The sequence below is a fragment of the Homo sapiens genome, chromosome 6, assembly GCF_000001405.40.
Source record: "Homo sapiens chromosome 6, GRCh38.p14 Primary Assembly".
Classification (NCBI taxonomy): Eukaryota; Metazoa; Chordata; class Mammalia; order Primates; family Hominidae; genus Homo; species Homo sapiens.
The window spans coordinates 18518693-18540963 of NC_000006.12; the positions used below are offsets into that span (position 1 = coordinate 18518693).

At 39.0% G+C, this 22271-nt stretch overlaps 1 long non-coding RNA gene across 1 annotated transcript in view, besides 2 other annotated features; it reads left to right on the plus strand.

Annotated features, from left to right (window-relative positions):
- Positions 1–4054: 4054 nt before the first annotated feature.
- MIR548A1HG (MIR548A1 host gene) overlaps positions 4055–22271 on the plus strand; it is a 200152-nt gene continuing 181935 nt past the window's right edge. The window contains exons 1-3 of the long non-coding RNA NR_149116.1: positions 4055–4143; positions 17156–17361; positions 17480–17642. This is a non-coding gene — a long non-coding RNA (MIR548A1 host gene). The remainder of the gene's footprint in view (positions 4144–17155; positions 17362–17479; positions 17643–22271) is intronic.
- Positions 8900–9535: an enhancer, noted in NCBI's record as "OCT4-NANOG hESC enhancer chr6:18527823-18528458 (GRCh37/hg19 assembly coordinates)". NCBI's record gives its function as "activates a minimal SCP1, AML or CMV promoter by ChIP-STARR-seq in primed H9 embryonic stem cells {active_cell/tissue: H9 hESC(primed)}" and the evidence as "EXISTENCE:reporter gene assay evidence [ECO:0000049][PMID:30033119]".
- Positions 17705–19344: an enhancer, noted in NCBI's record as "VISTA enhancer hs1052". NCBI's record gives its function as "enhancer in: forebrain[7/13] | branchial arch[7/13] | cranial nerve[9/13] | other[8/13]" and the evidence as "EXISTENCE:transgenic organism evidence [ECO:0001131][PMID:17130149]".

Below are 22271 nucleotides of genomic sequence, written 5' to 3' on the forward strand. Positions count from 1 at the left end.
GTTATAATTCTCAACTAGAGGAAAGATTTATGAAATGTTCCTTGGTGTATAGCATTTTAGATTTCAGTTATAGAATGAGATTGTGTGCTCAGGATTACCTGTCTGCAATGCCTGATATTTTCCTCTTGGGCAGGCATCCAACTAGTATCTGAGAGGGAAATCCAGTAGCCAGAAGGAAGGAATCTGCTTTACATTAATTCTCAGGACAATATTATTTGACTATATACAGATAGGATAATGATGACATGATAATTATAGGCAGGAAAGCTATGAAAAATAAAGCTTGAAGTAGGATCTGAACACCTCGTTTTTGAAGGGTATCTCCAAATATTTTATTGGAATACCAGATATATGAATTTCTCTTAAGTTCATAGGCTTCAAACGTTCTAACAAAGCACAGTCCTGAAAAAATAACTTGAGGGGCTTCACCGAAGAAGATATACAAATGGCAAATAAGCACATGAAAAAAATGTTCAACCACACCAAACATTAGGGTAATGCAAAGTAAAATCACAATGAGACATTACTACATACCCACTAGAATGGCTAAAATTAAAAAGACTGACCACATCAAGTGTTTTTAAGGATGTGGAGCAACCAGAAATATCATACACTACTGGTATGTAAAATTGTTCAACCTCTTTGAGAAGTAGTACACATATGCACAGAGTCATATTAAAATGTTACCTATGCAACTGTCCTATACATTAAAGTTATTAAAAGATCTGAACACTTAGGAAAATAGGACTGAATAAGCAATTAAGTATTTTTTTTCTTTTCCTGCAGGTGAAATTTCTCAGGATTAAAAAATTCTCTAAAAACATCCTAAAGGAAATTTTTTTTCAACAATTTTTCTTCTATGAATTCACTTTTCAGTTCACATTTCTGGAGAAAAAAACTCAGTGAAAAATTGATGAAAAATGTTCATCTAAATGGCAAAATATTCTAAGCTAAGCAAAAAGCATTTTTTAGATGCCAGTGATTGAGTTACCAAGGGTGGGTATTGGTTGCGTAGGATGGAGTGAGCCCAGGAGGTCCCGGCTAGGAGAGTATCACTACTGACCCCAACATATGCTGGGATTGTTGGGTTTGCCTAAGAGCAGCGGGGTTTCAGTTTATAGTACCTATCTCTCCCCACCCCAATCCTTTTGTGATCAATAGAATATATTAAAATGACAGCTTGCAAACTATGAAAAAGCTTGCAAACCTCACAGAAGAGAAGTCTTTAAAAACTATTAAAAATTTTAAAGACACAGGGTCTTTCCATGTTGCTTAGGCTGGTCTCAAATTCCTGGGCTTAAGTGATCGTCCTGCTGTGGCCTCTGTGTAGCTGCTGTGCCATTGTGCATGGTGAAGATAAGTTTTTTAAAATTATTATTTTTGTTTTATTATACAAGTAGTATGAGTTCTTTGGGAAATCAATTTAAAAGCATATTTCGCTATCCAAGTAAACATAAAAATATGCACTTTATTTTTATTTTTATTTTTTTTTTGAGATAGAGTCTCACTCTGTTGCTCAGGCTGGAGTACAGTGACGAGATCTCAGCTCACTAGCAAACTCTGCTTCCTGGGTTTAAGCGATTCTCGTGCCTCAGCCTCCGGAGTAGCTGGGATTACAGGCATGTGCCACCACATCTGGCTAATTTTTGTAGTTTTAACAGAGACAGGGTTTCACCATGTTGGCCAGGCTGGTCACGAACTCCTGACTTCAGGTGATCCAACTGCCTCAGCTTCCTAAAGTGCTGGGATTACAGGCAGGAGCCATTGCGCCTGGACTACATATTATTTTTTTTAACGTATAGATATCCATATATTTTCTAAAATATGGGAATCAATATATACGTATAGATTTATCCTTAAACTTGTTTTATAACATACAATTTTCCATATACTTAAATATTCAAAATCACAAATATTAATATTTTATAACATTATTTCATATGTATATAATTATTTAATCAATTCCCTGTATTTAACAATTAGGTTGTTTCCAATTTACAGCATTACCAGGATTGCGGAGATTGATATTTTTGTGTTTATTTAGATTATTTTTCCATAATAAATTCTCAGAAATGAAAATATTGCTGAAGGATCAAAACACTTTTGAGATTTTTGCACATTTTGACAAATTTTGACCTAACAGATTCCTAGTAGCAGTGAGTGAGAGTACTCATTTCATCATATACCTGACAGCAGTGAGTATTATTTTAAAAGACATACATGCCAAGTTGAGGGAATAAAGTGTTATCTCTGCTTCATCTTTCATTTCTTTGATTACCAGTCATGTGGGACTTTTAAAACATAACTGTGTTAATGGTCATTTCTATTTACTCTTTTGTAAATGATCATTCTTTTATTTGATCAATACTTATTGATTGCCCACTATGTGTGAAGCACTGCAGAAGGTGTAACATTCAGCAGCAAATGAGAGAGAGACAGCCCCTGCCCTAATGGAACATAAAGTTTTTTTTTTCTTTTGAGGACAGAGTCTCAGTCTGTTGCCCAGACTGGAGTGCAGTGGCACAATCTCGGCTCACTGCAACCTCTGCTGCCTGGGTTCAAGTGATTCTCGTGCCTCAGCCTCTGGAGTAGCTGGGGTTTCAGGCGTGTGCCACCACATCCGGCTAATTTTTGTATTTTTAGTAGAGACGGGGTTTCAGCAGGAATCACTGCTGACCTCAGGTGATTCGCCTGCCTTGGCCTCCCAAGTTGCTGGGATTACAGACGTGAGCCACTGCGCCAGGCCTTTTATGGTGGTTTTTGATGTGAGTAAGTGATATACAAAAGTGTAGGAAAATTGGTCTCCCTCTCTTTCTGGTTTATTTTTTCCTTTATCATTGATTAGAAAGATATTTGAAATTCTAGATTATAAATTCACATATTTATTATTTCTTCTGGGTCTCCTGAGTGTAGTTTTTACACTTAATAATTAAATCCATCCAAAATGTACATTATTGTATCTTGTAAGGCAGTGATTTATCTTCTCACTGAAACAGTTAACTCTCTATTTTAACACTATTTATGAAATAATCCTTCCTCCTCTTGAATGATTAGTCATCTCACCTTTATCATATACTAAGTTCTTTTTGAGTAGATATATATTAGGATCCATTTCTGGGCTATTTGTTTCTACCATCAATTTTTATGTGTGTACTACGTTATTGTAGTGTCATAATATGTTTTATTATCTGGTAATGTAAGTTCACTTAATTTATGTGAGAATCATTAATTAAACTGGTTTTAGTAGCTGCTGGAGTTCAGCCTGACTGATGAGATTGCATGGTTTTTATGATGTCGTATAAAGATATATAAAAGCAAAACCTTTTCTTTTTTTCATATGGACTTTTTTCCTTTGACTATAATGTAGCACATGTTGTAAAACTTTGGATCTTCCAGAAAAACACAAAGGAGAAGATAAACATCACCCAATTCTGTCACCAGAGAGAGCCTTTTAAAATATTTTGAATCTTATACCTCTGGCCTTTTAGAGATGCACATGATACATATTATTTTATATTATCCTGCAGGGATTGTGCCTTTTATTTCTAACGATATCTCAGTGGAACACTTTCTATGTCATTAAATACTCTTAGTCTTTTAAAACATTAATTTAATGATTTCATATGACATGTAGAATGTATCATACTATATTTAACCATCCTTAGGTTTATTTGCAGTCTCTATTTTAAATGGTGCCACGATGAACATTCTTAGGGAGTAGGTTAGAGGTTTTTTTCTCTTTTTCACTCATTTTTCTTCTTTCTCCATCGTGTTTGGAAAGAGGTATTTTGGTAAACTGGAGAACAGTGATAGCTTTGATATGCTAAACGCATCAGACTTATCCCAAGGAAACCTGTTGATATGGTTTGGCTGTGTCCCCACCCAAATCTCATTTTGAATTTTAATTCCAACAATTCCCACGTGTCGTGGGAGGAACCTGGTGGGAGGTAATTAAAACACGGGGGGTGGGTCTTTCCCGTGCTGTTCTCGTGCTAGTGGATAAGTCTCACGAGATCTGACGGTTTTAAACACGGGAGTTTCCCTACACAAACCGTTTCTTTGCCTGCCGCCATCCACGTAGAATGTGACTTGCTCCTCTTCGCCTTCTGCCATGATTCTGAGGCCTCCCAGCCACGTCGAACTGTAAGTCCATTAAACCTTTTTCCTGTATAAATTATCCAGAGTTGGGTATGTCTTTATCAGCAGCATGAAAATGGAGTAATACACCTGTTAAGAGTAGCAAGGAATGATGCCATGAGTAAAAGATGGAATCAGGCGGGGCGCAGTGGCTCAGCCTGTAATCCCAGCACTTTGGGAGGCCGAAGCGGGCGAATCACCTGAGGTCGGGAGTTCAAGACCAGCCTGACCAACATGGAGAAAGCCCGTCTCTACTAAAAATACGAAATTAGCCGGGCGTGCGGGCGGATGCCTGTAATCCCAGCTACTCAGGAGGCTGAGGCAGGAGAATTGCTTGCACCTGGGAGGCAGAGGTTGCAGTGAGCCTAGATTGTGCCATTGCATTCCAGCCTGAGCAACAAGAGTGAAACTCCGTCTAAAAAAAAAAAAAAAAAAAAAAAAGATGGAATCAGCTGCCGAGTGTGGTGGCTCACGCCTGTAATCTGTAATCCCAGCCCTTTGGGAGGCTGAGGTGGGTGGATCACAAGTTCAGGAGTTCAAGACCAGCCTGACCAATATGATGAAACCCCATCTCTACTAAAGATACAAATATTAGCCAGTAATCAGAAGTTAAAGCATTCATTCCTTAATCTATTCATCAAATGGCTAAGAAGTTTCTAAAATGCTCTCTTCTATGGAATATGAAGATAAATGAGATTTGACCCCTAACTTCAAAGAACCCGTGATCAAAATTTGTGTCTATGTGTGCGTGTGTGTGTGTGTGAATGAGGGAGATACACAACAGGTAATTATGATATAACACAATAACTGATATACAGAAACATGAACATTTTGCTTGATCCATAATTAGTCAAATCACTAATCTGAGTCTCTTGTTTTTACCCACTATTCCATGCTCCTAATAAAAATAACATTTGAAAATATCAACAGGGATATCTAAATAGATACACATTCATGTCCTATGTTTTGCAGTATGGTGTGCATCCTACATGTACAGGGTCGATTTTTCTACCTCCCTGAGATAAGCTCCCACATTAATCTGCTATGGTACTACTTTCCTCCCTTTATCAATGATTCAAAGAATAACAAGCCAGACATCCTTGGCAACTGAAATCATTTCAATGTATTGAAATCATAAGGTGTACTGGTTAGCTATGGACTGTGCTGTCTCTTAACCCATTCAGAAAGATGAGGGTAGCCGGGCGCGGTGGCTCAAGCCTGTAATCCCAGCACTTTGGGAGGCCGAGGCAGGCGGATCACGAGGTCAGGAGATCGAGACCATCCTGGCTAACACGGTGAAACCCCATTTCTACTAAAAATACAAAAAATTAGCCGGGCGCCTATAGTCCAAGCTACTCGGGAGGCTGAGGCAGGAGAATGGCGTGAACCGGCAGGCGGAGTTTGCAGACAGCGCCACTGCACTCCGGCCTGGGTGAAAAAGAGTGAGACTCCGTCTCCAAGCAAAAAAAAAAAAGATGAGGGTCACCAGCAAAATTTCTTTCATTTTACATTGTTGATATCTCTGTTTTAATCCGTAGTCCTTGTGGAAGGTGGCTGTTGCCTGTTATACCTTGTGAGGGGGCTTAGCTAATCAACCCTTATTAATTAGTCACTAATATGGGCTATGTACCAACAACTGTTTTCACTAAGTGGTGGCAGCACTAATTGATGGGGCATAATGAGCCCCTCCCGAATTACGAAGAAACATTGCTCCTTACCCTCTGTAGATGATCCCTTATAGATGAAGGGCTACCAAGGGAAGGCTGGAACAGGCATGGGATGGCAGGGTCTAATTTGTTTTTAACCTGCTTCTAAGAAGTTGCTTAATTAATATAGGATTAGCACATTTGAAGGCTTGAACAGGTGCAAACACACACTTGTAACCAGCTGTGTAATTGACCGCAGTGCAACAAGCCAGGTCTGAGCATGCAGACCTCACTAATCACCTGCTGACCTCCTATCTGTGGCTGTAAAAAGACCTGTTCTTTTTAGTGCAGGATTCCCTGAATCTATCTGGAAGGCCATGTATGTTGGGATGAGTTGAAATTTTTGGTTTTTGAGCAAACCTTTGTAAATGGGTTCATCTCCACATATGATACCCCAGAAACATTGCTGCTCCCCTTTTCTTGGTTTGTTTCTGTGGCCTTACTAACAATCTGGGGAATCTTGTGGATGTTGTACAGATGCTCCTTGCCTTCGAGGGGTTACATCTCAATAAACCCATTGCAAATTGAAACTATTATAAGGAAAAATGCATTTAATACACCTATAGGTTTATCAAATGTCATAGCTTAGCCTAGCTGACTTTCAACATACTCAGAACACTTATGTTAGCCTGCAGCTGGGCCAAATCATCTAACACAAAGCCCATTTTACAATAAAGTGTTGAACATCTCGTGTAATTTATTAAATAACATACTGAAAGTGAAAAACAGAATGGCTGTATGAGTACTCAAAGTATGGTATTTATTGAATGTGTATTGCTTTTGCACCATTAAAAATGAAAAATAATTGTAAGCCAAACCATTGTAGTCGAGGATCATTTGTATATGCTGTGGTAAATAGGTCTCCAGGCTTAGATCTCAAAGAATTCCAGAGTTCTAGGAGCCTTTAGGAATAGCTACCTAGTTCAGGGGTTGGGAAACTGCAATGTGGAGCCAATTCAGCCTGCGACTTGTGTTTATAAACCAAATTTTGTTGGAAAACAGCCATGCTTATCTATGTATTTATCCATGTTGCTTTTGTGTTACAATGGCAGAGGTGAGTAGTTGTGTCATTGAGCATATGATGTGCAAAGCTGAAATTATTGACTCTCTGGCTCTATACAGAAAAAGTTTCCTGACCCTTGAGATCAAGGGTCCAATCCATACTATATTTTTCAGCTTTTGTAGTAAAATTAAGTAAATTGCCCTTTATAAAAAGTTTTCAAGGAGCTCACTGTCTAGCAGAGGAGATGAAATACCCAAAATATGTGTAAATTCCTTCCAAATTGCTATTTCTCGTACGTGAAATCTGATTTTTAAAAACTTCACTTCTCATTATTTTTTATTTTCCTGCACAGTAGATTGGGATCTAGGCCTAAATCTAGTTCCTATTCAGTCTGTGTCACCATACCTGGCATCAGTGTATCATATATTTGTTAATTTGTTTATTATCTGTCTTCCTCTATCACAATGCAAGCTTCACAAAAGAAAAACTTTACATTTCTTATTCACATATCCCTAGGGCCTAAAATAGCAACCTGAAATATACTGGATACACAAAAAAACTGTGTTTTATGGAATCTAAGAAGCCATCGGTTGTAAGTTGTACCATTATTTTATATACCACTAAGAAAGAAAAAGCACTGGCAATTAGTCTGTAACACATGCTGAGTCTCCTTGATTGAAAAATACATCCTTGTTCCAGAATTGTTAAGATGTGAAACAATATGCACCTTAAAACCAATGAAGAAGGAGAATTGTCAAGTAGGTGGGAGAAGTGGCGATCTTATAATGATTTTCAAGGCTTAGCTAACATTTTGTCTCAAACCAAATCACAAATATTTATTGAGTAATTGCTTTGTGCAATATTCTGGCCTGGTGCTTCCTCCAAATCATCCCTTACCATAGCACCTTGGGGAACTCCTTGGCGTGCATCCCCCAAGCTGTAGAGACTCAGAGTCTGACGAGCCAATTTAGGACTTAATTATATACTCCTTTTATTGATCACCATTGTTTCTAATGACATAGTCTTTTCTCCACAACTAATTGGTAAGCCCCTTGAGCGCAGGAACTGGTTTTTTAAAGAATGATGTATTCTTCACAGTGCTTTCCCTTTCTGTTACCCAGGGAGCACATGGCAATATAAGGGCTCCTGGGATTGAATCTTAAGTACAGAGAAAACCTAAGAATGCTTTTAGATAGACAGATAAGAGACCAGTAGAGAAGAGCAGATTGAAGGTATGTGTGAGAAACGTTATGTAATGAAAAGATAATTGATGACACACACTTCCAGAGGGTGCTGGCGAGATTGATTCAAAAGCACACGGCTAGGGCACTGAGTAACGAGAAAGAAGTTGCAGATGAAGGATAAATGGACAGGAATAAGAAAGGGCTTCATCATTTAAGAATCTGAAAGAGACAAAAAGGTAAGGAAGGGACTAAATGGGAAGAAAGGGAGAAAACAAACCTTTTCTAATCTCATTAGCTTCACTCTTCCAATGTCCTCCCCACCTCTTCTCAAGGCTCCAGAGAATTTGTCTCCAAATGAAGCCCATTCTCTCTTCTTTCTTGTTAATACTGCCTCCTCTTCTCCCTCTCTTCTTACTACTTTCCCTCCTTAGGCCTACTTACATCTTCTTTCCTCATCAATTCAAAGCTTTCAATTGGTCTTTCTTAGTAAGACATCTCTTTCTAGATTTAGACATATTTTAGGAATTATGAGGACAGAAAAGCAATGCAGGGGAATATGGGGAAGAGGAAGGAACCTGTAATTTATGAATCACTTTTTTTTTTTCACATCTCCTAGGATCTTTACCTAGACCTTTCATTTAATCACAGACACCTTCCTTTAAAATTTTAGATACCCGTCCAAGGGTTCACTAGCAAAGCTGTCGCATGAATTCCAGTCCTCTGGTTTCAGAACCCATATACTGTGCTGACTTTTTTATTTTTATAACATCATGTTGCCTTTCTATAGAGGTAGTTCCTTCTTCTAATTATGAAAGGCTCGTGCTTATGTGTATTCTTATGTTTAATGCCTAGTTTTCATTACTTGAAGAGATTTTGGCAAGATTTAGTACTTTTTAAATATATTTAATTGCACAAGTAATACAGGTCCACAGGAAAAACGATTGAACAATCGTGATAGGCAAAATGAAGAAAATGAAAAATTATCCAGCATCCTTTGTGCCACGGCTTTCAAAATCAGTAAGATGAAAACCAATCCTCCTTCATTACAAAGTATTTTGAATAAGAATATAAGCTTAAGTGCTCATTCAGCAGCAGACAGACATGGGCTAATAGCTCAATGGCCTAACATTTCATCCCCGGACCAAAGCATTAGTTTTAGGCCTTCTTGTGTGGGATCTGTGGATTGTTTTATTTTCTTTCCTAATGAGCAATTGGACTAAAGGATCAGGTTTAATTATAACTAGAGTCCCTTTCTGTTTGTACATCACTGCAGACCTAATTGTAGGCTGGCATCCCTGCTGCGGCCTGAGTGGTCATTAGCTTGCTGATAATGAACTATGCTTGTCAACATGGCCTCATTAACCATTGTTTTTTTTTCAGCAACATGGTTGTAAGGGTTTGAACTTGTGATTGAGGATGTGCTGGACTCATCGTGCTGAGAGAAACTTGTCCAGTTACGTGGTTAGAACCAAAGAGTTTTGGCTCAGACAAGTGATGCTATCCAAGGATAACTGGATCTATGCTGCAGCCTCAGGAATGTGACATGTCAGGAAGAACCCTGACCTGAGAGTTAGAGAGTGAGATTCTTATCCCAGCTCTGTGCTGTGTAGCCCTGTGACTTTGGGCTAATTGTATCACTTTCTGTCCTCTAGTTTTCTCACCTGAAAATAAGAAGGTTCTACTCAATGATTGGTGAGATAACTTTTTGTCAATAAAAATAATTTTGCATGATGCTTGTGCAAACATTTTTTTCCTTTTTTTTAATCAGTGATTTTATCTTCTTAGGTTATACACTAGAGGGCAGTGGTACATTAATATTATAAACTATGAATGCACTTGGTACTGCATTCAGCTGAAAGTCATAGACATTTGAATTAGGAAGGGATCTTATCTATTTCTCATTCAAAATATAGGAAGCTGTTCTGTAGTGTCCCCAACAGATATTCTTCATGACCCTGTTGAACATTCCTAGTGTTGGGAACTTTGCTACTTCGCAAGGCAGCTTTTTTTTCTTGTTAGTTCTACTTATTAGAAAGTTATTTCTTCAATTAGTGAAAAACCTGCTTTCCTATAACTTTTATCGCTGGTCTTGCAACATGGCAGAAAACTGTATCGCCTTCTTGTAATGGCATTTCACATCTTTTATAGAGTCGTATTACTGAATAACTGTATTTACCATTTATTGGTAATTAGTAATTGTAAATTATAATTTATTGAGTATCAACTATGTATCAGCATTGCACCAGGCATCTTATTTACATTATTTTATTTAATTCTCACAATAAGCTCTGAGGGAATTTTCATCTTTATTTATCTGTATTTTACAAAGGCTCAGATCAAAACCACGTAACTGGTAAGCCATGTAGGTGGGATTTGAACCTAAGTCTGATGAAAACCCCCTGCCATTGCTCACAAAACAACACCTCCTTTTATAAAGGTGAAGACATAAGACCCAGAGAAGGGAAGCAACCTGCTTGAGATCACACAGTAAATAGGAATAGAGTAGGAACCGGATTCTAGATCTTTGGAGAACACATTCAATTTTTCTTTGCCGTACAGCACAGTGCACTCAAGACCGTTGTCATTTAAGTCCCAAATCCTCTTTTCTATATGTTAAATGTTCCTGTTTCCCCTCATTGTTATTCCAATGGTTTCTTTGCTGTCCTGTCATGTCCTCTGAGTGTGCTCTTAATTTGCTGCATCCTTTCTTTCTTTCTTTTTTTTTGAGACAGGGTCTCACTCTGTCACCCAAGATGGAGCGCAGTGGTGTGATCTTGGCTTACTGCAGCCTTGACCTCCCAGACTAAGGTGATTCTCCCACCTGAGCCTCTCGAGTAGCTGGGACCACAGGTGCACTCCACCATGCCTGACTAATTTTTTGTTGTTGTTGTTTGAGACAGAGTCTCGCTCTGTTACCAGGCTGGAGTGCAGTGCCACAATCTTGGCTCACTGCAATCTCTGCCTCCAGAGTTCAAGTGATTCTCCTGCCTCAGCCTCCCAAGTAGCTGGGACTACAGGCATGCCACCACGGCCAGCTAATTTTTGTATTTTTTGTAGAGATGGGGTTTTGCTGTGTTGCCCAGGCTGGTTTCGAACTCTTGAGCTCAAGCGATCCACCTACCTCAGCCTCCCAAAGTGCTGAGATTAAAGGCATGAGCCCATTCTTTCTAAATTATAAAACTCAGAATTCAAAACAGTGCTCTGTTTGAGTAGGAGAGAAGTCACTGAGACTGTATTTCCTGTCATTTGGACTTAATTTTCTATTAACATTGTCTAAGGTTGCATTAATATTTTAATATAATGTTGGCTTATTTCAAATATAAGGTCAAACATACCTCTTGTTCCTTTTAGTTTTATTTTTATGAAATATAAGAACAAGACAGAGTGGTCCTGTTATGTTCCTATCGATAGAAAAAAAATCCTCCCTATCTGATGAAGAGTCTTTCTGAATTGATAGTAACCTAGAATAAATTTCTGGGTTCTTAAGATATTCAAGGCATATGAACATGAAAATACTTGCATTTCTGGGATGATGATTGGATTCATTTTATATGTCAACATCCATGGTTGTTTTTGCTTTCCTATCAGAAATGCATGCTTGCTGTGTGTTGTAGACATTCATTGCTGTTTCCTTCCTGCCTATTATCTTTTGTCATAGCATGACTTTGACATCCTTTTAAAAAAGGCTATGTGCAGCCCAAGAGGAGCTGTTGATCAAAGGGGCCCTGTCCTTGTCTAGCCAAGAGTTGGGCATACGAAGCAATGCTCTTTGCCTCAGGACTAGAAATCCTGATTCTAGTGGTATGGAATGGAGAATTAGCAGTGACTGATTCATCCTGGTAACACCAATGCCTGACTTTTCAATATTTCCTTTGATCTGTGAGCCAATAATTTTTAAATATATATATGCATATATATAATTTTAAAAGTTAGAATCAGTTTCTGATGATTGCAGCCAAAGCAATCCTCACTCATACATCAATCTTTGGGATATATTTACTTTTTTTGAAATAGCCTTATCAGAAAGTTCTACCTTTTCATGACATAGCAGAATAGCTCATCTATCCAACAGAGTTTGTTAACCTATCTATCATAGAAACTTTTCAAACAATTTTTGGGATGACAGTTTTTAAACTATGTTTTCCACATCTAATACAATGGATGTGTGCTGAAAAACTAGTGAGAAGTGAAATTTCATAAACTGACTTTCCTAAGGGCAATTGCCGGTCAAAAAAAAAATCAACGTTGACATCCAATGTTGAATCATTTTGAATGCTAATCATCCATCTGTTTTATAAATTTAAAATTTGATGAATTTAGCTTTCTTTTTTTCCAAGAGGGAAGCATTCTCATGTTTTTAGTTAAATGCTAATTCATGTTTGAAACCTATTAATATATAGTTTTGGTGGCAATATTATATCTTTATTTAGGCTGTGTATCATAGGCATTAAACCATCATAGCAATGGGACCTTTTCAATTCTGTTTTTCTTACTGTGTTCTTATCTGCACACTGGGCATCTCTTTCATGTGGGAAAATTCCAAATTCATTTGTAGTTTTATTCCTGACTTTCTGAGCTTCAGGTTCACATTCTCAACTTTTTGCATGAAATATTCATTGGATTTTTCTAAAGGCATATACAGTTCCATGTGACATCCTCAAACCAAGTTCTTTATCTCAAAGGTCAGTATTGAGAATATCATTTGCTACATTATAAATCACCTCTTTGATGGTCCAAGGTGGAATTTTCTCCCTGTTTTCAGTACAGAGAAGAAATGAGCTTTTCCTAAGTCACTGACTTGCTCAGTTCTCACGGACCCTGTGGCTCTTCCAGAGTTGTGACTATTAATACAAAGACTCTTTGAGCCAAAATCATGGCCTCTCTGGCCCACTTGTGGCTTCCACTTACTTTTCTATCCCTGTTTTTCTCTGGCTTCATTGTTTTCTTTCTTTTAAAAATTTTTTATCTTGTTATTTTACCTTACTGTATAGTATACATTTTTGGAAGCTTCTGTAAATCTTTTTATTTCCCACTGGATAGTAAAAACTAACCACATGGATTGGTGCCTTTTTTCCACCTGTCTTTTTCTGTTGTTTAAAATTCATCTCTTTGTTAAAGGCATCTTTAAGCTGCCTACCTCTGAGGCTTAAAACTTGGAGTCATTTAAAGTGCTCTCTATCCTTCATTCTCTGTGTCTGGTTGTCCTGTTCTCAGAAGTTGTTCAGTTGTGCTTCCATAATATCTCTTGCAAACTGGAGAAAAAATGGAAAGGTGGTCATCTGTCTGGAAAATTAGGGGACAGAATTTGAGGAGATGTAATGATCTCCATCCCTCAGATCACTGATCTTTTGGTAAAATCAGCTGCTTTCCCCCCAGTCTGTTCTATCTTTTACCTTCTTACTATGATTATTCTACCTGGATTAATTAATTCTTCATTACCAGTCATCTGGATGACTAAAATTATTATATAATTGATTTTTTTTTGTCTTTAGACCAGTGATTCTCAAACTGGAGCATGCATCCACATTCCCTGAAGGACTTGTTAAAACACAGATTTCTGGACCACACTTCCAGAGTTTCTGATTCAGGACATCTGGGGTGAGGCCCAAGGATGCGCATTTCTGGCATGTTCCTCGGTGCTGCTGCTGTCCTGGGGACCACATTTTGAGAATCACTGCTCTAGACTGTCCCCTTCTCCATGCTACACACTGCTCCCAGGGTATAGTTCTTGGAGGAGTGCTACTTTTCTCAAAAGTTTTCATTGCCCCTGGATTGTTTATTGAATTTATTTTCACATGTCAAATGTCCTGCCTTGTATTCAAGACCCTGAATGATCCTAATGCAACTTGTCACTTTCATTTCCTGGTGTTTCTCCCTAGTCTTGTAATACTTTTTCTCTTCCTTTCCTAATCTCTGCTTATTGATGATCCACTCGTTCTCTAGGGCTCTACTCAAATCACATCTACTACATGAAGCCTTGCCTGATATTGCCAGTTGCCCACTGAAGGTCAGCCTTCTTTTATTCTCTTACAGTGTTTTCAGCATTATGCCTTTAATTATTAGTGTAGTTGTCTTCTCTCTTCTACTGAATTTAACAGACTCCAAAACAAGAAGCAGGGACCTCATGCCTTATACACGGAAGGTCTTTAATAAATTCACTTGAATAGCTGCTGTATAGAGGTTTTAGGGTAGGGACATAGAGGATGAATGTTACTATAAAACAGATGTACAGTTTTCCTGAGATCACATTTTTGTGCTAAAAATCATGTCATTGCCCACTGTCAGTAATACAAGTGAAATATTTCACAAAACATACGATAAGCAATTAAGACTTAAAACCCCAAATTATCTCATCATACCATGAGATTTCAACTGAATAGTAATTTTTGTCTCATCTTGACTATTGCCAAAGTTTATTAATTAAATATTATGACCAGTTTATGGACCAAATTATATAGATGAAAGTCTGTCATAGGAGTACACCCTGCACTTGCCAATTTGTAAATAATAAAATGTTATCTTTATATGCAGAAAAGTGAATAACTATATTAAAATAGCCTGGCCACAAAACACTGTTTCTGGTGTATTAATAGGTGCTGTATGTATAAGGGGGTTTTCTATTATATCAAATACTTTTAGAAAATTCTAGATTAAACTATGTTAAATCTTATTGAAGACTCCTCAGAGTCCATATGTGCTAATACGTTGTAGGAATCTTTAGAAGGGGGCATATAATATTTACCACTTTTTAAAGTTCTTTTTTTTTTTGGTTCTAATTATTTTATTGTACATGGCTTTTTTTTTTTCTTTTTGAGAGGTGAGGTCTTGCTATGTTGCCCAGACTGGTCTCAAACTCCTGGCCTCAAGTGATCCTCTCACCTTGGCTTCCCAAAGTGCTGGAATTACAGGTGTGAACCACTGCAACCAGCCTATTTTATTTTATTTTAATTTGCAGAAAAGCTCATCATGATAACTTTCCTTACATCACATTTTGGGAAGTTAGGTACAAAACTGTGTTTGTTTGGAAAACAGGAATTGCCATTGCAATGACCTGAAACAGGTAGCACTGAGCCTTAGATGTGTACCTGCCTTCACCCATGATGAAAATGAATCTCATGGTAACAACCCTGGGTGCACAGTCAGTGGATTTCTTTTCTTTTTTTCTTTTTTTTTTTGAAACGTAGTCTCGCTCTGTCGCCCAATTTGGAGTGCAGTGGCATAATCTCGGCTCACTGCAAGTGTGTTGTTCCTGATGTCATTCCCTGCATTCCTTTGGGGGGTGGGGTTGTAGGAAGGTGGGTATGTGGATTGGTATTAACGCAGTAATGCATGTCTTTAGCCATTTCCTACTGGTTTTCTGAATTATCTGCTCTACACCTAGATTTTCTACTCTAAACCTCATCTCCTTCTATCTCTTTTCTGGCTGTCAAAGAGAAGAAAAATGCTTTTGCATACTGTGTAAATCTTTGATTAAGAGGGCAGCAGCAAATTCTAATCTCTTTGATCTCTTTACCTTTAACCAGTCTTTTTGGGAGCATTTTCTGCGTCTGGTAGCATCTTCTTCTTTTTAAATCTACAGGTTGAGTATCCCTTATCCAAAATGCTTGGGACCAGAAGTATTTCAGACTTCTGTTTTTTTCAGAGTCTGAATACTTGCATATGTACAATGTGATAGCTTGCGGATGGAATCCACGTCTAAATACAAAATGTTTCCTGTACACTTATACACATAGCCTGACAGTAATTTTGTACAACATGTTAAATAATTTTGTGCATGAAACAAAGTTTTGACTGCATTTTGACTGCCACCTATCACATGAGGTGAGGTGTGGAATTAGCCCCTGTGGCATCAATGTTGGTGCTCAAAAAGCTTCAGGTTTTGGAGCATTTTGGACTTTCTTTTTCTTTTTCTTTTTTTTTCTGAGATGGAGTCTTGCTCTGTCACCTAGGCTGGGGTGCAGTGGTACGATCTCAGCTCATTGCGACCTCTGCCTCTCGGGTTCAAGCCATTCTCCTGTCTCAGCCTCCTGAATAGCTGGGATTACAGGTGTGCACCACCACACTTAGCTAATTTTTGTATTTTTGGTAGAGACAGGCTTCACCATGCTGGCCAGGCTGGTCTTGAACTCCTGACCTCAAGTGATCTACCCACTTCGGCCTTTCAAAGTGCTAGGATTACAGGTGTGAGCCACCATGCCTGGCCTGGAGTTTGGATTTTCAAATTAGGGACACTCAACTTGTGCCAACGTCTTCTTTGATGTTGACTTGCTTCCAGTTTGGATCTGGAATTTACTTTACCATTGTCTTAAAATAAAATGTAGTGTGGTGAAATATTTTTGAACTGTTTGTTGTCTGAGTACCCAGAAATGATACTATATCTCTTTCCAGGAATATTGTCTCACAATTTTGCTAATTTATTATCCTATATCCCCTTGCCATTGCTGTACTTGACTCAGAGATCTTTTTTCTGAATCCTACAATCAATGTCCAGATGACCACTACGATGTATCTGTTTCCCTTAATCATGGGGCTAAGGAGCATTTACGAAAGTCTTATAATTATTTCTTCTGACCTAGACATGAGGTCCTCTTTCATCCATGTTCCAACTGCTTTTATCTCTTGTTGGGGGCACACACACTTGTCTTGCTGATTGATATTTGAAGCCCTAGGCATTAAATGTCCATAGTGAACACTTTCTTCCAGTTTGGTGAAAAATGACCAAACATTCTTGAGCTCTGCTTGTAAATCCATGTCCTAGCCATAGTCTGAGTTTTAAAATTGCTCAACTGGGGATTTAAAAACTCCACCAGATTCTCATTTTCCTTTCAGATTTTTGTAAGGTTCAAATGATCTAGTAAATGTGAAGCTACCTTGAGATCTCATATACTTTTCCCCAATATTCTGGGTCTCACTTAGCCTTTATTCTTTGGTCCTTACCTTGGGGTGCCTAACTTTGCAGCCTGACAAACTAACTTCAGAGTAGATCTGCCTCTTGCTCCGTTTCCTAGCAATGATAAAATGGTGGATGGGCCTCAAAATGATGGAAGATTTTTCTATTCGAAACTGGAAACAACAGTGAACCTGTCAAAGTGTGGCTAACGTGTCACTGTCTTCATGACATACAGACAGAAGAAGGAGATGCCAGTGACAAGCAAAGTAACTCCCCCACGGCATGGGAAGAGCCAGCATCTGCTGCTGTCCAGGAATACAGTCTCACTGCTGCAGTCAAGGAAGGCCAAAGAAGCCACCGGGGAAAACCAACCCATCCCGGGGACACTGGAGGCTCACTCCTTCCTCGCTGCATTCTGAGGCTGCTGCTTTGGAGTGAGAGGTAGAGAAACTCTCCTTCTGTCTATAGCTCTTCTAAGAACAACAAAACATGATGCTCCAGGAAAGCTACTTTTGCATCTTTTCTAAGAAAGCCTCCTTCTGGCTCTGTTTTCTCCTAGATTATCCTCTGCTTCTCCTGAAAGAGAAGGTGATATGCCCAGGACCCTTCCTGAGTAAGATGTGTTCCTCAGAGGTTAAAAAAGAAAAAAAAGCCCCAAACCCCTGAAACCAAGAAATCAAGACAGCTCTGGTGGAGAAGCTTTTGGGAACTTGCTGGGGCAGGTGAGGTCTTTCAAAGCTTAAATCAGTCAAGAGGTGAGACACTTTCTCTCTAGAAACTCGGGTCATAGCCACCCCTCTGAGATATTCTTCCCTCTGCTGATGTCATGTGGTGTGGAAACCCTCTTCTCGTGGCTGAAAACAATCCTAAAGAAAGTCAGCCTCATCTGGGGAGGGGGTGCAGCGGGGGGAGAATGGGGGAATGTCCCTGGCCAGGAGGCCGGAGGTGCCCCAGGAAGCTGTTTCCTCTGAATAGTTAAATGGCTGCCTCTCAACTTGCACAATGTCACATTGAATTTGAAACAGGGAACTTTTTATATTTTTTCCCTGATTGTGCTGGCACCTGGCAGATGCCTATTTACCACAGGCATCAATACACATAGTAATCAAAGGAAATCAGAGGCACAGATTAGCAACAGCTGCAAGTCATTAGTGACAGACACGGGAAAGCACAATTCTGCACCCAACTTTGAAATAACCAATATGAGTATTTCAGAGCACGAGGGTTACCGCAGGGCACTCGCTAACATGAGAGCAGCCAAACAATAGCTGGGCTTGTCTCTCCAGAGAGCACTCTTCTCAAAGGCAGCACCACACACTCCGTATTATAAACCAATCAATCACATGATATTGGTCCACTGAACGTTAGCCCTTTGCAGAGTCCATGTGCTGATCTGATCTTCTGACCAAAGGTTGTTGAACTGAAAAATAACCTCTGGCTGGTGGAAAACTTTGTTATCGCCTGTCATAATTTTAGTGGTGGGAGTTTGAGTGTATTTCTGATGACTTAATTATATGATTGACCTAGTTGGAAAGGGGCATATAGAGGGGAAAACAAGACATTCCCCTTTCGCATTTAATCTCATTTTTCCCCAAATTTCTATTTGAAAATCAGCTATGATTGATAGCCGTTCTCTTGGTAGTTACATATTTTCATTGGCAACACTAACCTTAGCCTACTCCAAAAAATACTATTCAATTTTTAGCTTTTCCCTAATCAATTCATTCAGTGCCTCAGTGGAATACAAGTTGGTCATTTAAAAATTTCTAGCTGTTGCCTGATATGTCCCAAAACAAATTTAGCCAGCATGGGTTTCTATTTTAGACCATCTCTGGAAATGCAGATTTACTGTACAACTGGGTAATGGCTTAGAGATAAACAGACACAGTGAGCCGCTGTCTGATTAGCAGGACTGGGCGAAATTTAGCATTATATATATACTGCAATAATTGGACCATTGCACCATAGGATGTAAAGTAAATTGTTCTCAGTGCCATACGTGGGCTCTTCTTCTTTTACTTGATACTAAGGTTGGATTATTTCATTCTGTTTTAGAAATTTCTCCTTTTTCCCTGCTCTCCCTACTCAAAAATTATCTTCTGAAGGTTTTTCTAAAAATTCTTCTAAGTAAGTTGTTTTGGAGATTAGGATAAGAAGGGAGAAAATGCTGCCTTTTATCTGGTGCAGAGCCAGCCATTAAATATCAGCTCTTTAACAACAAGCAAAAAGCTATTATTTTAGAAGAAAGCTGCCAGAGAACATGGATCCCATAGGGCATCTGCCACATCATAGGCATTCAGATGCATGTTGTAATAGTCATATATGTTGTTTCTTTCCACTGTCAGAGTCAACAGATTATTTTATACTTAACTAAATACCATGATCTCTTAGTTTAGGGAGATTTGATTTCTTCAGGTCATTTTGTAAGAAAGAAAAGGTATGGTATTCATTCATAATTTTATTTACTAAAGTCAGCATATATTTTCGGGATGTCTACTATGTCTCAGGGAATGTTTTAGGCACTGTGGATACGGTAGCAATTTTTTTTTTTTTTTTTAAGACAGTGTCTTGCTTTGTTGCCCAGGCTGGAGTGCAGTGGCTTAACTTTGGCTCATGGCAACATCTGCCTCCTGGGTTCAAGTGATTCTTGTGCCTCAGCCTCCCAAGTAGCTGGGACTATAGGTGTGTGCCACCATGCTCAGCTAATTTTTTGTATTTTTTTTCGTAGACATGGGGTTTCGCCATGTTGGCCAGGCTGGTCTGTAACTCCTGACCTCAAATGATTCACCCATCTCGGCCTCCCAAAGTGCTATAGCAGCACAATTAATGAATAACTTGGTTATAATGTGCTCAACTGATGGTGAGGATATAGGCAACTTACATATGAGGTGATAGTTTGACTACAATTGTTCATTGCTTAGATCTTCTTTCCCTCCCTCCTTCCCTTCCTCCCTCCCTTCCCTCCCTCCCTTTCTTTGCCTTGCCTCTCTCCTTCCTTCCTTTTTTTTTTTCCTCCTCCTACTCTCTTTCTTCTCCTTTATTGGTACTTTGTGATTTAGACTTCAGAGGGACAAGGACAACCATTGTTGGTTACACAGGATTATTTAATTAAATAAAATATACAGTTTTGAGAATTAATCTGTATAGTTAGGATAAAGCTTCTGTAACAAATAAAGCCCCAGATTTCGGTGATAACACAGTAGAAGTTTATTCCTTGCTCATATAACTGTCTAATGAGGGTGTCTCCTGCTGAAGGAGGCTTTTGTCCATGCAGTAACTCAAGGTCTTCGACTCCTTCTGCCTTGTGGCCTTTCCAGGACCTGGAATCCTCTACTTCCCATTGGTGCAAAGGGAAACCGAGTGTGGAAAAGGAGCCATTCTTAACCAACTTGGCCTGAAAGAGGGAAGCATCACTTCTGTTCTTATTCCATGGGAGAGCTGCCTAGATGGCCCTATGTAGATGATAGAGGGTTTGGGAAATTCTTAGTCTTATGCTGAACAGACACTTTAAGGTGATGATTCTATGCCATGGAAGCAAAGAACAGGTTTGAATGGACACAATTATGAGTCAGACACTATGCTAATTTCTGGAAAAAAAAAAGTAGGCAAATCATCATCCTTTGGGGGGGTGAGAACCACATAACATAGGTACTCAACTAACCAAACATGATATTCAAGTACTAAATTAAGCCATATGTAAGCACAGATGTAGGAGCAAATAATTCACTCAGAAATGAACTCAGGGCAGAAGCTGTTGAAGGAAAGCAGAGAGGAGGAAGGAGAGAGTGTCCGACCTGAGCTAAGGCATGAAGCTCAGAAGATGTCTGATATGTCCAAAGACTGGTGAGCTTCTCGATGTGTCAGATGACCAAAAACTTGGGGATAGATGGGACTAGAATAGAGAGGGCCTTGTGGGCTATGCCTTGTGCAGCAAGAACTAGAATTGAAATGATAATATGTATTGTGAGCTTGAGGCTGCAAATACAGGTCTCCTGACCCCAGTCCTTTTTTTGGATATTTTATTCCATATGTGGAAGGATACTGATTTGTAAAACTCAAAGTCATGTGTGACTTTTTATGATCAAAGGTGTTTGGTCTCTCACTGCATGTTCTCACTTATAAGTAGGAGCTGAACAATGAGAACACATGGATACAGGGAGGGGAACAACACACACTGGGGCCTATCCAGAGGGTAATGGCGGGAAGGGAGAGCATCAGGAAAAATAGCTAATGCATGCTGGGCTTAATACCTAGGTGATGGGTTGATAGGTGCAGCAAACCACCATGGTACACATTTACCTATGTAACAAACCTTCACATCCCACCCTTGTATCCCGGAACTTAAAAAAAAATGTATTTGGTTTCTAAGAACAAAAATATATTCCTGGCAGCCATGTTATTTACTGGGTAAGAATATGTCATCTTATAAAAGAGGCACATTAAAATGTATTAATTACCTCATCTGATTTCAAGGTTAATATTTCATCACATATTTAAGTTTCCTTTCCTTTCCCCCCAATACTTGCGGTAGTGAGTGTGCTTTCTTATCATGTCAGAGAGAGTTTGAAGTTCCAGGTAGCAAAAGAGGCTGAGGTTGTCTCAGTTGTTGCAGATGGAGATAATCTTGCACCATTCTGAGTAAGCCTGGCCTGGGAGATGGACCAAAAACTGTGTCATCAGAGGATGAAGGTGGGTGACCAGTGGCAGGACATATACATTACCTTCCCCCAAAGTTTTAGTAACCAGAATCAGGGGCCTGGTTACGAGGTGTTGATGTTCCTGTACCCATGGCTTATGCTGATCTATAGCATCATTAATTTTGTAATAAATATTTGCTATCCTTTTTTTTAGGTGATCTCAAGCTAGTTAGCCAATATGATCACTCTTTCCTATACTAATTTATTTTATTTTATTTTTTTTTAGAGACAGAGTCTTGCTCTGTCACTCAGGCTGGAGTGCAGGGGTGCAAATGTAGCTCACTGCAGCCTTACCCTCCTGGGCTCAAGCAATCCTCCTGCCTCAGCCTCCCGAGTAGCTGGGACTGTGGGCATGTGCCTTCATGGCCAGCTAAATTTGAATTTCTGGCCTCAAGTGGTCTTCCTGCCTCGGACTCCCAAAGTATTGGGATTATGGGCATGAGCCACCACACTGGCCTCTAGTCATTTTTATATAAAGAGAGACCAGCATAGTGAAGTAAATTTATATGCTTTTTGTTAACCTAAGAAATATTTAATGAACATCTATTAAAAATTGAGACTCTATCTGGACCTTGGGGTGGAGAGGAGAGAGAGATAGAAATATGAGTAAACTGAGGTTTTTGCCTACATCTGGTAGAGAAGAATACAGCTGTA